The 13416-nt window shown below is 43.0% G+C and overlaps 1 annotated feature.

Moving 5' to 3' along the window:
* Positions 688–1188: an enhancer, noted in NCBI's record as "H3K4me1 hESC enhancer chr1:63432364-63432864 (GRCh37/hg19 assembly coordinates)". NCBI's record gives its function as "activates a minimal SCP1, AML or CMV promoter by ChIP-STARR-seq in naive H9 embryonic stem cells {active_cell/tissue: H9 hESC(naive)}" and the evidence as "EXISTENCE:reporter gene assay evidence [ECO:0000049][PMID:30033119]".

Genomic DNA, 13416 nt, shown 5'->3' with positions numbered 1-13416 from the left:
AAGAGGGCTTCACCTCCCTGGGGTTCACCACAGAGGCCAGAAGCTTGGAGTCCAGTGGGTGGGTTGAGTTCTCTGTGAAAGGGAAGATGGCGTTCTGGGCACAGAGATTTGATGAGGGAAGTAGGGGGTACATGAAGGGCTGGGGGCCTGGATAGGTGACTTGGAAAAGCTGACCAGTGTGACTCCTCCATATGGGGAGTGAGGAAGTACCAGTCAGCTTCCTGCTGCAGAGATGACCCCGGGCCGGCACAGTGGACGAGGGGTTGCTTGGGATCCTCGTTCTTATTCCTCCCCTCCTTTCTGCACATCCTCTCTGAGTCGTGGCCCAATTGCCTTCTTTTCCTAGGAGACAGTTTCTCTTTCAGGCTCACACTGCCCCAAATGCCATCTCTCTTCAATCCAGGAGTGGCCCACTCTGAGCACCGGTATCGTCCACGCCCCCATGTGGGCCTGGGATGCAGATCCTCCCCTTTTGGGTCACGGCCATGAGAAGCAGCCTTGGAAGGCTACCCTGGAAGGCTCCCACTCAGGGACACCAGTTCACAGGAAGGCTACTGCACCCATCAGAGAGTGGAGATGCAGCTGTAGGGTATAGGGTAGCGGGCCTTGAGGACCCGCCGGGCGGCTGCCTGGAGCTGGAAGGAGGCTCACTTACAGAGCCTGTCATCCTGGTTCAGGACGCTGGGGCAGATGCTGGGGCCCGCTAGCCGCTCTCCTGGGCCATCGTCCCACTGGGGGGATTAGCTGAAGGATACAAGTGGCGTGGAGCCAGTCCTGGGATCCCCAGGCCCCCTTCCAACTCTTGATGATCCATATGAAAAGGTGGCAGTGACTCAGGGAAGGTGGGTGATGCTGTGAGGGAAATGAGCCATTTACAAAACGAAGGTCTCCCCGCAGGCGGAGGCCAAGCCACAGAGGAGAACGAATCCCTCTTTGCTTCATGGACATGGCTCTTTCTCTGAACAATCTGTGCTCCGGACCAGGACATTCCTGTTAGCGGTGTCCTGTGGGACCCTAGTTGTCCCACATTTACGCCTGTGGGCCTTGCTGCTGGGGATGACACAGTCTGCTTACCAGGGACCTGACCCAGAGAGGTACAAGAGGACAGTCGTCTACACAGGGCCCCTCTTTGCACGAGGCCACACTTTAAGGGTAAGAGCAATAACAGCTCTCAATTTATTAAGCATTTGAGGTGAGGCATCTGCTAGGCCATTTACATGTTCAGTCATTCCTCTGTATCCCCAGGGGATTGGTTCAAGAACCCCAGGGATACCAAGATATAGATGCTCAAGTCCCCAATATCAAATGGTATAGTATTTGCATGTAACCTACATGCTTCCTCCCATATATTAAATCATCTCTGGCTGGGCGCGGTGGCTCATGCCTGTAATCCCAGCACTTTGGGATGCTGAGGCGGGCAGATCACCTGAGGTCAGGAATTCAAGACCAGCCTGACAAACATGGAGAAACCCCATCTCTACTAAAAATACAAAATTAGCCAGGCGTGGTAGTGCATGCCTGTAATCCCAGTAATTCGGGAGGCTGAGGCAGGAGAATCCCTTGAACCTGGGAGGCGGAGGTTGCAGTGAGCCAAGATCGTGCCATTGCACTCCAGCCTGGGCAACAAGAGCGAAACTCCTTCTCAAAAAAAAAAAAAAATCATCTCTAGATTTCTAATAATACCTATTACAACGTAAATACTATGTAAATAGCTGCTACATTGTTTTTAAAATTTGTATTAATTTTTGTTGTTGTATTATTATTTGTTCCTTTTTTCTGAATATTTTTCATCAGCAGGTAGTTGAATCCATGGATCTGAAACGTACAGATACAGAGGACCAACTGTATGCTTTCTAATCTTTATAACTGAGGCTCATGACTGGGAAATGGAAGGGGAGGATCCAAATTCAGACCCATGTGACTGGCATACTCCATCCATTGTGTGACACCTTTCTCCTTTCTCCGAGAAAGATAGGGAAAGAGCTAGAGACAATCTGGTGGCCTTTGATACCCCCTTTGATAGAATGTGGGCCTGGGCTCACATGGTGTCAGGTGCTTACCCCATTCTATCCATTCTTGCCGCATGGTCTGATGGGAAGAATGCAGGGGATACACCATGTTGAAGGGCCCAGGGTTTAGCTTCTGTCCCCACCAGTGAAATGTGCAACCCTGGGCAAACATAGTGTCAACTGTAAAATCAGGATAATAATACCTACTCAATTTATGTCAAAACAGAAGGAATGAGTTTACAAACGATGCTCCCTGGAAGCCTAGGATGGAGTTTCTCAAGCTTCGGAATGCATAAAAACCACCTTGTGTGGGCTTGTTAAAATGCAGATGCCCAGGCCTCAACTCCGAGATTGGAATCAGCGGGGCAATATGAAGCCACGGAATCTGCATTCTGTGGATGAGAGACAGCAGGTGTGGAGAAGCCCGGACCTAGGCTGCATGGCGGCGCCTCCAGGGTGGGTGGGAAGCGAGGGAGTCCATGGGTGGGATTCAGAGTCTCTCAGCCCAGCTTCACCTAGAACTGTTCTGTTTGTAGCTCCATTATATATTGAGGTTTCAAGTAAGATTTCATTTAAAGGACGATTACATGATTTAAACATTAAAAAAAAATGTTAAAGATTGCAATGCATCGCCACACATGAAAATGCTTTGGGTAAGTGAAAGGTGCTCTCCAGATGAGAGCAATTTTACTAAAACTGTGGCCATCTGAAACCCTCTGGGAATGAATCATTCTGGAGAGCCTAATCTTCCTGATAACATTAAAACTTTTTATTAAATGTTAATCGTTTTGTGGGAAATATGTTACACTCTTCCTTGCCTTTTAAAAGAGAGAATAAAGAACATAATTTAACTGTTGTTTGAAAACTCAGGACCACCAATTGGATACTGTGAGGCCATCCCAAAAGTGAGTCCTGCCAAGCTTGACATGGAAAGTGCATCCATGGGATTCCACTATTCGTGTCCCCTACTCAGGCCACGGTTTATATAACACCAAGTGGAGGCAGAGCAATGTGGTGAAAACAGGGGGCACTGGAGAATCAGGAGGATGAGCTCCAGCCTCCACAGTGGCAACCGAGGGCCACAGAACCCAGAGGAAGTCCTCTCGCCTGGCCCTGCTTTCTTTATCCATAAGGCAAGAGGCTAAACCAAGCCGTCACCTGAAGAGGGGTCCAGTCTCTAAGGTGGGGGTTGCAAACTCCATGGCTGTCAGGGGCCAGGCTGGTGGTGCTTGGGGAGAATGGGAGAGCAAAAGCCCAGCTGGGGCGCAGCCACCGCTTCACACCAGCAGACTGCCGATGTGAGAGTGACAGCCCACTGCTATCAGGTCTTCTAAGTTGCCCAGAAAAGCTGGACTTTCTTGTGAAAGCTCTGGATTCCTTCCATGTTGGCACCTGTGAAGGATATGGGGGTGCTGGCTCCCACATTCCCCCTCTTTTTCTGGGTGGCCTTTTGTCCTTCAGAGACCACAACATCAAATACCACATTTCTCATTTCCTTACAGCTAGGGTTTTGGATGCAAATCAGTTTGCGTCAATGAGAGTAAGTCATAGTTTTGAAAGGCAACGTAAGGCAGAAGCTGTCTTCTGACTCCCTATCCAGAGCCTGAGCTGCCAGGAAGTGTGGGAAACACAGGTCAAATAAAACCCATCTGTGGGCACCACTGAGCCCGAGGTCTCTTCTGGCTCTAACACTTGTAAGACAGGGGAGTAGCAGGGTAGACAGCCCTCAGGTGGCTGACCTGCAAGGGGCCACCTACACCCACTGGGTCTTTTTCTTCAAATGCCTCTTCAGCCTCCAACTCCACCCCTGAGGGGCACGTGTTTGTTCACTGACCCAGTAGAATCCAAGCTCTGGCGTTCTCGCCTGGACTCCATTGCCCAACTTTTTCCCATAAGGAGGATTAAGGACACACGATTCTGTTTCCCAAAACAGGACAGAGATTGCGACCCTTCGGGCAGGGTCCTGCCAGGGCAGTTGGCATATGGAGTCCCTGCAGCTTTCTCCATCCCTTTCAGCATGTTCCAAAGGGAGCAGCTGGGGGCTTCGTACCAAGGGCTCAAGTTTCCAACCCTGTTACTCTTAAGCTGCCCAAACCGAATTGTATCTGCCTAAGTGGTATGTGGGTAGGGAGGATTTAGGCATGTTTGTGGGGACAAATTTCATGAGCACCCTTTTTGCACATAATAGCTGTTACTTACCAAGGACCCACTGTGTGCCATTTCTAATCCTCACAACCACCCTGAGGGGCAGACATCACTGCCTCCATTTTACAGATGAGGTAACTGAGGCTTGCAAAGGTTAGTGACTTCTCTAGGGTCCCACAGATAGTAAGTGTCAGAGCCAGAATTCAAAGGCAAACTCCTTCTCTTTATTGTTCTTGATGAACCAGGGCTGGGTTACTCTTGGACCCAGAGCAAGCAGATTCTTTTCAAAGGCGTCCAGGCCCCTGGGTGAGCCTGCCAGTGAGTTAGGTAATGTGATCCTGCCTCCTAGTGGTCAGGTCGGTGGCTCAGTTCCTCACACTAGGGCAGGAAGCCTCTCCCGTCTCCCGCCGTCCCAGGGGTCCTGGCAGCTGGTTATTTCAAGAAGTGGGCTTGGCCACTCTGGGACAGTGAGGCCTGGGAGCAAGTGAAAGCAGCTGGCTCCTGTTCTCAGGCCCCTCACCTCTCACCCGGGGAGTGGCAGCCACAGCCCCAGGCCCTCCGCCCACATCAGTCCTGGTCAGATAGAACATTAGGCACATTGACCCCCTCCCCATGTGCAGGGCATCTGCTTAACTTTTTACATCTGTTGCCTTAGTTCCCACTCCCTCTCCCAGGTGGCGATTAACTACTATCTCTTATTATTCAGCCACCCGGAACTTGGCATGAGAAACTGCTCAAGAATTACACTTTGGAGGGTGGGGCTGGGGACACTATATTTATCCTTATCTGAACAGTTTAATCACCTTGAGACCTTTTCTTTAGTAATAATCACACACACACACACACACACACACAGTCCCATTAAACCTCACAATCTTTTTTCAATTCAGCATAATTTCAATTATTTATTTAATTACAAATATAAATATTAACACACACACAATGAAAATCAATGCCACAGAGCCCTTCATCCAGTTGCCTATGCTCCAGATTTTGAGTGCAGACACCCCACACCATTCTTCCAGGAGCACGTGTATGTCACACTCTGTCATGCCAATTAGCTAAACAAAAGGTTTGTCTCTTCCTCTCCTGAAAATGCACATTTCCCTGTTTTGAGCATGTGTGTTGTTAGATGATGTGGGTCTCCACAGGAGCTCTTCAGCCCCTGGTGACTTTGAGTGGCAGCAACATTCTCTGCTGCGAGTAAGGAATCCCTATATGGCCAGGCCACCTGCTACTGTTGCTTCTGTAATGATCTCAGCAGCACAGAATCCCTGATTAAGAAAAATAAAAGTATTAATTCTAATGGCTTCACAGTAAGCCATTAATTTGCATATCTCCAAAATTGTATCTTGCTTAAACCTAGAAAATAAATGATCTCGTGACACCTTTTGACCTTTTATTTAAGAATATCTCTTGTCTTCCTCACTTATAATGCATTTTTCCCTTCCAAGCCTAGCTAACTCCTACCTATGCTATGAGATTCTGACCAGGCATTGCCTCCTCTGGGAAGTCCTCCCTACCACTGGGGTGGGCTATATCCCTTCCCTCTGCGCCTTGTAATTGGATAGCACAGGTGCTTATTGAGAACCAAATAATGTAATTAAGGCAGAAGTATATACATGCATCTACAGATAAAATTCAAGAAAAATCAATAAAACTTGACATAAGAACTTCTGATTTTGGAGGAAACCTTGGTTTAGAGGAATGAAGATCAAAACCTTAAAGCCATTTAAATGTTTTATTGCACTAAATTACTAGTTGCAGCTCCCTCTCTAAAAACTGAAATTTTTTAACACTATCAAGAACCATATTGAAAAATGTTACTTGCCCAAGGGACCACAAATAAATACATGCTTAAATGAAACTAAAGAAATTTAATTAAGTGTATGAACAGTTATACTAAATGATTTCTCCAGGAAGCCAATGGGAAATTATACCTAACAAGTAGCTACAGAATAAGGTCTGTTGTTGAGAGGTTATTAACCTAATCACATAATCAAATTTCACCACCAACCGTAGCCATCTGATTTGCCATGTCAAAATAAAACCATTGTTAACCCTTCTTAATGAAATCAGAATGGGGAGGAGGGGGGTGGCTGGTTTTAGAACAATGTAGTTCTTTAAAAGCAAGGCTTACAAATTTTATTTTCTTCTCCTGACACCAAAAACAATACTTTACCATTGTTCAGTGAAAATCTGAAACTATCCAGCTTTTAAAAAATGAAATTGGAAATGAAATTCATGGATGATTCTCTTCACAAAAGTCATTGACAAAGGGGGAAATAAACAAATTGGTTTTGCTCTCAAAATTTGGTGAAGGAAATTTGTTCCAAGGCTGAGGTGTTCCTTGCCAGTTTTAAACCCAAGGTGCATTTTTATAGCCAAGAACTAAAGCCCTGAAACACAGCGATCCACAGAATAATGGAAATGCTGACACAACCTTCACTTCGGCAGCAGGAATGGTGCCACTATAATTTATGGAGAACACATTTTGGTTTTGTCAGGTTTTTAAACATAGACTGTTATAAATTTGAAGGAGGACTGTCTTGTTAAAGCTTCAAATGGCATGTGTTAGTATTGGTTATGCATCATGTCCAGTGTTTGGAATGGCATTTGTATTTGGAATGGCATTGTGATGACAGTCTATCCCAATGGGAAAAGAGGACACTGAATCCTGTTTTATTTTCAAAACAATATTCACTGATTAAAAGCATCATGGTCACCATCAATGACCAGACCAGCTAGAAGATCTAGTAAAGGTATACACCCTCAGATACAGTTCCCTTTTTTCCTTTTTTCAGGGATACATTCATTATTTGACAAATATTTATTGAGGATACCCAGTGTCATGTCCTATCCTAGGCAATGGTGATAAAATGTTGGTTGTGAGGCTATCTCTGCCCTCTGGGATCTTATATTTTTTATCAAAAGAAAAAAAATTAACACTATATATTAATATATGTATAGATATTACATATACCGTCCAAACCACACATCCTTAACCAAAGTGGAAAGAAGTCTTACAGACAACTCACACTGGTGGGTAGGGCCCAGCAGCAGCTAACAGGCCCCCACTCTCCAACTTCTGTTGGAGCTATAGGGTGGGTGGGTGAGGAGTGTAAAAGGCTAATCTCAGAGGTGGTGAGCATGGATTCCACACTCAGAGCTCTGAAATTGACTTATTTAGGAGAAGGAGTAGATAAGTGGGGAATGCCAATCTGTCTCACCCTATTATGCTTTTGCCTTATTTACATCAGCTGTTAGAGGTAGTAATTCTTGTACCCTGTTTCTGAAAGGAGTTGTTCATGGAGTCTGTTGTCCAGGCTGGACTGTAATGGCACGATCTCAGCTCACAGCAACCTCCACCTCCCGGGCTCAAGTGATTCTCTTGCCTCGGCCTCCCAAGTAAATGGGACCACAGGCGCCCGCCACCATGCCCGGCTAATGTTTGTATTTTTAGTAGAGACAGGGTTTCACCATGTTGGCCAGGCAGGTCTCAAATTCCTGACCTCAAGTGATCCACCTGCCTCAGCCTCCCAAAGTGCTACGATTACAGGTGTGAGCCACTGCACCCAGCCTATGAGTGCTTTTTATTAGATAGAAATTGTGATAAGTATAGAGATAAAGACAGCAGATTTGCCTGCCTACTCCATCACTTTCTAAAGTTATGACCTTGAAGCCTCAGGATTCACACTCTGTGAAATGGGCATAAGCCAAGGGTAACCCTATTACAAGTAAAGATATCACAAGAATCTCAGGCAGGACTCATGCAGAGCAAGGTCCATGGCTCAGTCTACCCGTGAAGAGTAGAGGAAGAAGTACTAGAAGACTGTAAAAAAGATGCCCCTTTATATGACATGAACTGGGAAGCATCTTCCAGTGGGGTATCATGCCACCGTATAAAGTGATGTTTACAAAAACCATAATAATAGCTAATGTCTATTGCACACTCACTGGGCTATGTGGTCCTTTATTTCATTTGAGTGTCACAAGAATCTTTTGTGAGATGTGGAAACTGAGCTTCTAAGATCAGCAATTTTGCCAAGGTGGGTGACCATAAGTTCTGGCAATCTCACTTTATGCCTGATGTCTTGGGTTCATTACTGATAGGGCCCCCTTTCACTCTCCTGTGTGTTCTCATTTTGGTGATGAGTTATATGGTGACCCAGTGTCACATAACTCATAGGTGGCAAAATCAGGATTTGGACTCCTACAGTCTGACTCCAAAGCCCACACTATCGTGCAATAAATACGCTTGTTACAAAATTTTGTGAGAAAAAAGAGTGCAAAATTATATGTGTATATTATCCTAATTGTTTAAGTATTTCGTGTATAGGAAAAAAGCCTGGAAGAAAATGCATGAGTTATTAAGTGTAGATGGAGGGAATAGAATAGATTTTAAATAGTTCTTTCTAATTTGTGGGTTTTCTAAATGTTCTTTAATTAGAATGTATGGCTTTTATAATGAAGGTAATTTTTTGGGGGGGCAGGAGACGGAGTCTTGCTCTGTTGCCCAGGTTGGCGTTCAATGGCACGATCTCCACTCACTGCAACCTCTGTTTCCCGGGTTCAAGTGATTCTCCTGCCTCAGCTTCCCGAGTAACTGGGATTACAGGTGCCTGCCACCATGCCCAGCTAATTTTTGTATTTTTAGTAGAGACGGGGTTTCACCATGTTGGCCAGGCTGGTCTGGAACTCCCGACCTCAGGTGATCCACTCGCCTCGGCCTCTCAAAGCACCGGGATTACAGGCGTGAGCCACCGTGCCTGGCCTGAAAGTAATATTTTTTAGAAGTACAGGCATAAAAAAGTATCTCAAGTATTATTTCATGAATAAGTATTATTTGATATTTTAGATGCTATCAAAAATTAAGTACACTGAAGCCAAAAAGAAATGAAACAGGACAAAGAGGAGGAAAAGGAGGAGAAGAAAAGGAGAAGGCCCTTGGACTAAAATTTGTAAAACCAGAGATGGAATCTATAGTCACTCTAATTGGCCATGGTGTGGCTCCAAGCTTGGAGACCTTGAGTCCTCCAAAGTCCCCAGAGGGTCAAATCTAAGGGAGAGCATAGTCACAGACATGTGTGTCACAGTCACAAAAAAAATCTTAAAGAAAATTTGGAGATTTGAATACGGACAGGATATAAGATGATATGGAATTACTGTCACTTTTAGGGGGAAGGATAATGGTATTATCAGTTATAAGAAAGAATTTTGTTCCTCCTGGGGGATGCATACTGAAAAATGTAGGATGATGTGTCATCATCAACCCCTCAGCTCACAACCATTCAAATGGTTCAGGGAAAAATGTGTATATGTGTGTATAAACAGAAAGAGAGCAAATGTGGCAAAACGTTAATAACTGCTTCAACTATTTGGAGGGTACATGGATATTCATTATAATATACCTTGAATTTTTCGGTATGTTTGGAAATTTTCAAAATAAAAAGTTGTGATACAGTTTTTTACGAATTCTTTGAAATGATAATGTAAGAAAACAAAACAAAAAAGCATGTATCTAAATAATCATAATATAGAATACATGTTTTAGAGCCAGAGACTTCAATGCTAGTCATGTGGCCTAAATGTTGTATAACCCTGGGCCAGCCTCATTTTCCCAGTTTCTTCATCAAAATGGTGATGATGATAATAGTATTACCAACCTCACATGCTTTTGTACAGGATCAAAAGAAGATTTTGTGTGTAAAGCCTCCATCACAGTGCCTGTCCACAGTTCATGTGAGTAAAAAAATAATCTACTCAAGTGACACAAAATGGGAACCTTAGGAAGAGCCTGTAAAGCTTTGAGGAATTCAAAACAAAGGAAGCTTTTTCCTTCTATTGCCATATTTTTTGTATAAATACAACTGAGCTTGATGTTATATAAAAAAACTAATAACTCAGAAGTTTGGTTTAGGTGGAATCAAGTGGTCTAAGTCTTTATAATCTCTGACCAAATCTACTCAACCACAACTGATTTCTATTGGGTTTGTGTTTACCTGGGTTTTGGTTTGTGGTTTTTGCTTTAGCCAATTTCCCCCAACTCTGACCTAGGGTTCAAGCGAAGAGCAAAGGAGCTCCAGTTCAATCCACACAGGTAGCTCCACTGGGCATGCCAGGGTCATCAGAGCACTCACAAAGGAAGAATAAACTTGGGTTTCTTATATCAGTATCCTAATAAAATAAAACAAGATACAAGTTGATGTACTGGTAATGATGACTATAATACTAAAAAGTGAATCTTCAATATTTTACTCACACACATATATTGTTTATTATGTGTGCCTATAATGTACTAAAGAAACAGAGATCAATAAGTTAATGTCACCACTCATAATTTGGTGGAGATGGGGATTGACATGTACATCATTTATGGTAATGATATATTTGCATAGCACTTTAGAGTTTACAGACCAGTTTCCCCACATGGCTTTATTCAGCTAACCATAGAGAGGTAGTGTCCATGGTGGGCAGTGTCCGGGGTATCTTCTCATTGAATTCTCTTATTTTGTCTTCACAAAGTGATACCATAACAAGCACTCTAGGGCCGAGAGAGCTTCAGTTCTGGTCTCACCACAGCATCCATATTGCTGTGCCTTAACCTTTATTTAGCCTAAAATCCATATCTTATTCATCTTTGTATACTAATTCCCTGTAAGGAGCCCAGAGTATAGTAGCTACTCAATTAATTGATGCTTATTGAAGGAAGGAAAGAAGGCAGAAAGTATATAGCAGGAAGGAAGAGAAGAAGACAGGGAGAAGGGAGGGAGGGATGAAGGAAAAAAAGAAAAGGAAAAAGATTCAAACTCAAGAATTTCTCAAGCCCTTACTAGGTGCATAATGTGTGCTAATCATTATGGGAAATGCAAAAGAAGCCTTCAAGACACAGTCCCAGTCCCCAAAAGATTTTTAATAAAATAATTTAAAGACCGTAAATGAAACTTTCAGCTAAAAAAAATCTAAAAAAAAAGATTGCTGTCAGGTATGTACTTTATGATAAATCAAAGAAAAAAAGTTGAAATTACAAGGAAATACACGTTAATTTATTACAAATTCAAGAGGGTGACTTCTCTTTTAACCTGTAAACATTGCTAAATTAAACTGAGGTTCAGTTGGCAAAGTTTGCACCAAATAAAAATTCCAATGAAAAATGTCGGCTGGGTGTCATGGCTCACGCCTGTAATCCCAGCACTTTGGGAGGCCGAGGCCGGTGGATCACTTGAGGTTAGGAGTTCGAGACCAGCCTGGCCAACATGGTGAAACCCCGCATCTACTAAAAATACAAAAATTAGTCAGACATGGTGGCGCATGCCTGTGGTTCCAGCTACTCGGGAGGCTGAGGCAGGAGAATCTCTTGAACCTGGGAGATGGAGGTTGCAGTGAGCTGAGATCACACCACTGCACTCCAGGCTAGGCAACAGAGCAAGACTCCATCTCAAAAAAAAAAAAAAAAAAGAAAAGAAAAGAAAAGAAAAACCTCAATGAACTGAAAACCCCCTTTAAACAGGAGCTCCAACGTCAGCATTACAATTTCACTTACATATTCAACAGCCATCTTTCTTCATTACAAATAATAAAGTAGCATCTCTTTCAAATATACAGGTATTGAGTTATATATGCATAAATTAACAGAAACTCAAGTAAAGAAGAAAAATCTATTTAAATCTGCATTAATCTTTTATTGGCTTTTCCACTTGTCATAAACAGTTTGTAACCAGATATATATCATCATACTAAACATCATGTAAAACCTCTCACTCAATAATCCAATTGATATCCAGGTAATATATCCAGTGGCAACAGTTCTCAAATGGGCCATTTTATAACCTAGGCAAAGGTTAATCATCCTTAGCTTCCTAAGTGTGATCTTAACCGAACTCCTGCTGCTTACTAGTGACTTTTGAACAGCATCCTGTTTTATGGTTAGTTAATTATTCTTTACTAAACATTAATGCATCCCAGAACTGGGACCATCAAACAATATGCTGAAAGAGATGTCTATTATCTTTTATTGTTGTTGGACATTTTTTTCACACTTAAAAATTTTTGTTTAGAACATTCTTGTTGAATAGTTAAACTTTATCTGTTCTTTACTAAGTCTTTATTTATATTTGCCCCACCCCCTTCATCCCCAAATGGATTAAAAAGAAGCCTCTAAAATATATAATCCGCTACAATGTAAGCAAATCTAAATAAATTAGGAAATTAAAGAGGAAATAGGAATGGAAAAATAAATAAGAGCCTAGAATGAACTTAGTACCCTAAATGCCCTTCAGGAACTCCTGAACATTTGTTGAAGTTAAACCATAAATTTGGCTCTGAACTGTCTAACAAAAGCGATCAGAGAAATTCATTCATTTGTTTACTTATATGACAAATACTTCACATGGTAGGTGAAAGGCATTTTGTTGGACCTAGGTTATATGGCGTGGGATAACAAAGACTCAGTGTTTCGCCTCGGAGAACTTACCATCCAGCTTTGAAGACAAATTTTAACAGTTAGACATAAGTTATAAATTATGAAAATTCCATAAAGGAAATGAATAGTGTTCTAAGAGAGCAAATATTAGGGAAGATTGAGATCACACTTTAGATGGGGGAGAGTGACATTGAACTTGAAACCTCCGAGTTGCCTCCTGATTTCCATTTCCTCCTTCTTTGTTAATAATAGAATTCCAGTTTTTAAGGAAGCACATTACTGCCCCAATAAAACGTTACATTTTCCAGCTTCCCTTACAGTGGGAGATGACCACGTGACTAAGTTCTGGCCAATAAAATGTAAGTGGAAACACTCTTGGCTTCCGGAAACTGCTTAAAGACAGCAGCTTTGGTTGGGAGAAGCATCGCTTTGTGGTTCCCACTTCTTCCTACTGATGGCTCCAAAGTCCTTTGGACCATGACGGGATCTTGAAGATGAAAGGCATGTCCGAGGGTGGCAGAGAAGAAAGACACATCCAGATGACATTCTAAAGACACCACAGGGACCCTAGATTCCCGCCTGACATAAAAGAGATACAGATGTCTGTCTTGTTTAAGCCACAGTTCTTTGAGAATCACTGTTGTACGTAGCTGAACATAAACCCCAGTGATTCTACAGTGAAGAGATCATCAGACAAAGGTTGAGAAAAGATTCCAGCCAGTGGCCATCATGTTGGAAGGACCATGGCTTTTACTGCAGGAACTGAAAGATAGGTATAAATAAAGTAATGAGTGAAGGGAGACAACACAGGATGAGCTAAAGGATATGCAAGGGCAGACC

Source organism: Homo sapiens, chromosome 1, assembly GCF_000001405.40.
Source record: "Homo sapiens chromosome 1, GRCh38.p14 Primary Assembly".
Lineage (NCBI taxonomy): Eukaryota > Metazoa > Chordata > Mammalia > Primates > Hominidae > Homo > Homo sapiens.
Note: the sequence above shows the minus strand (reverse complement) of the source record. Positions and strands in the feature narration are given on the sequence as shown.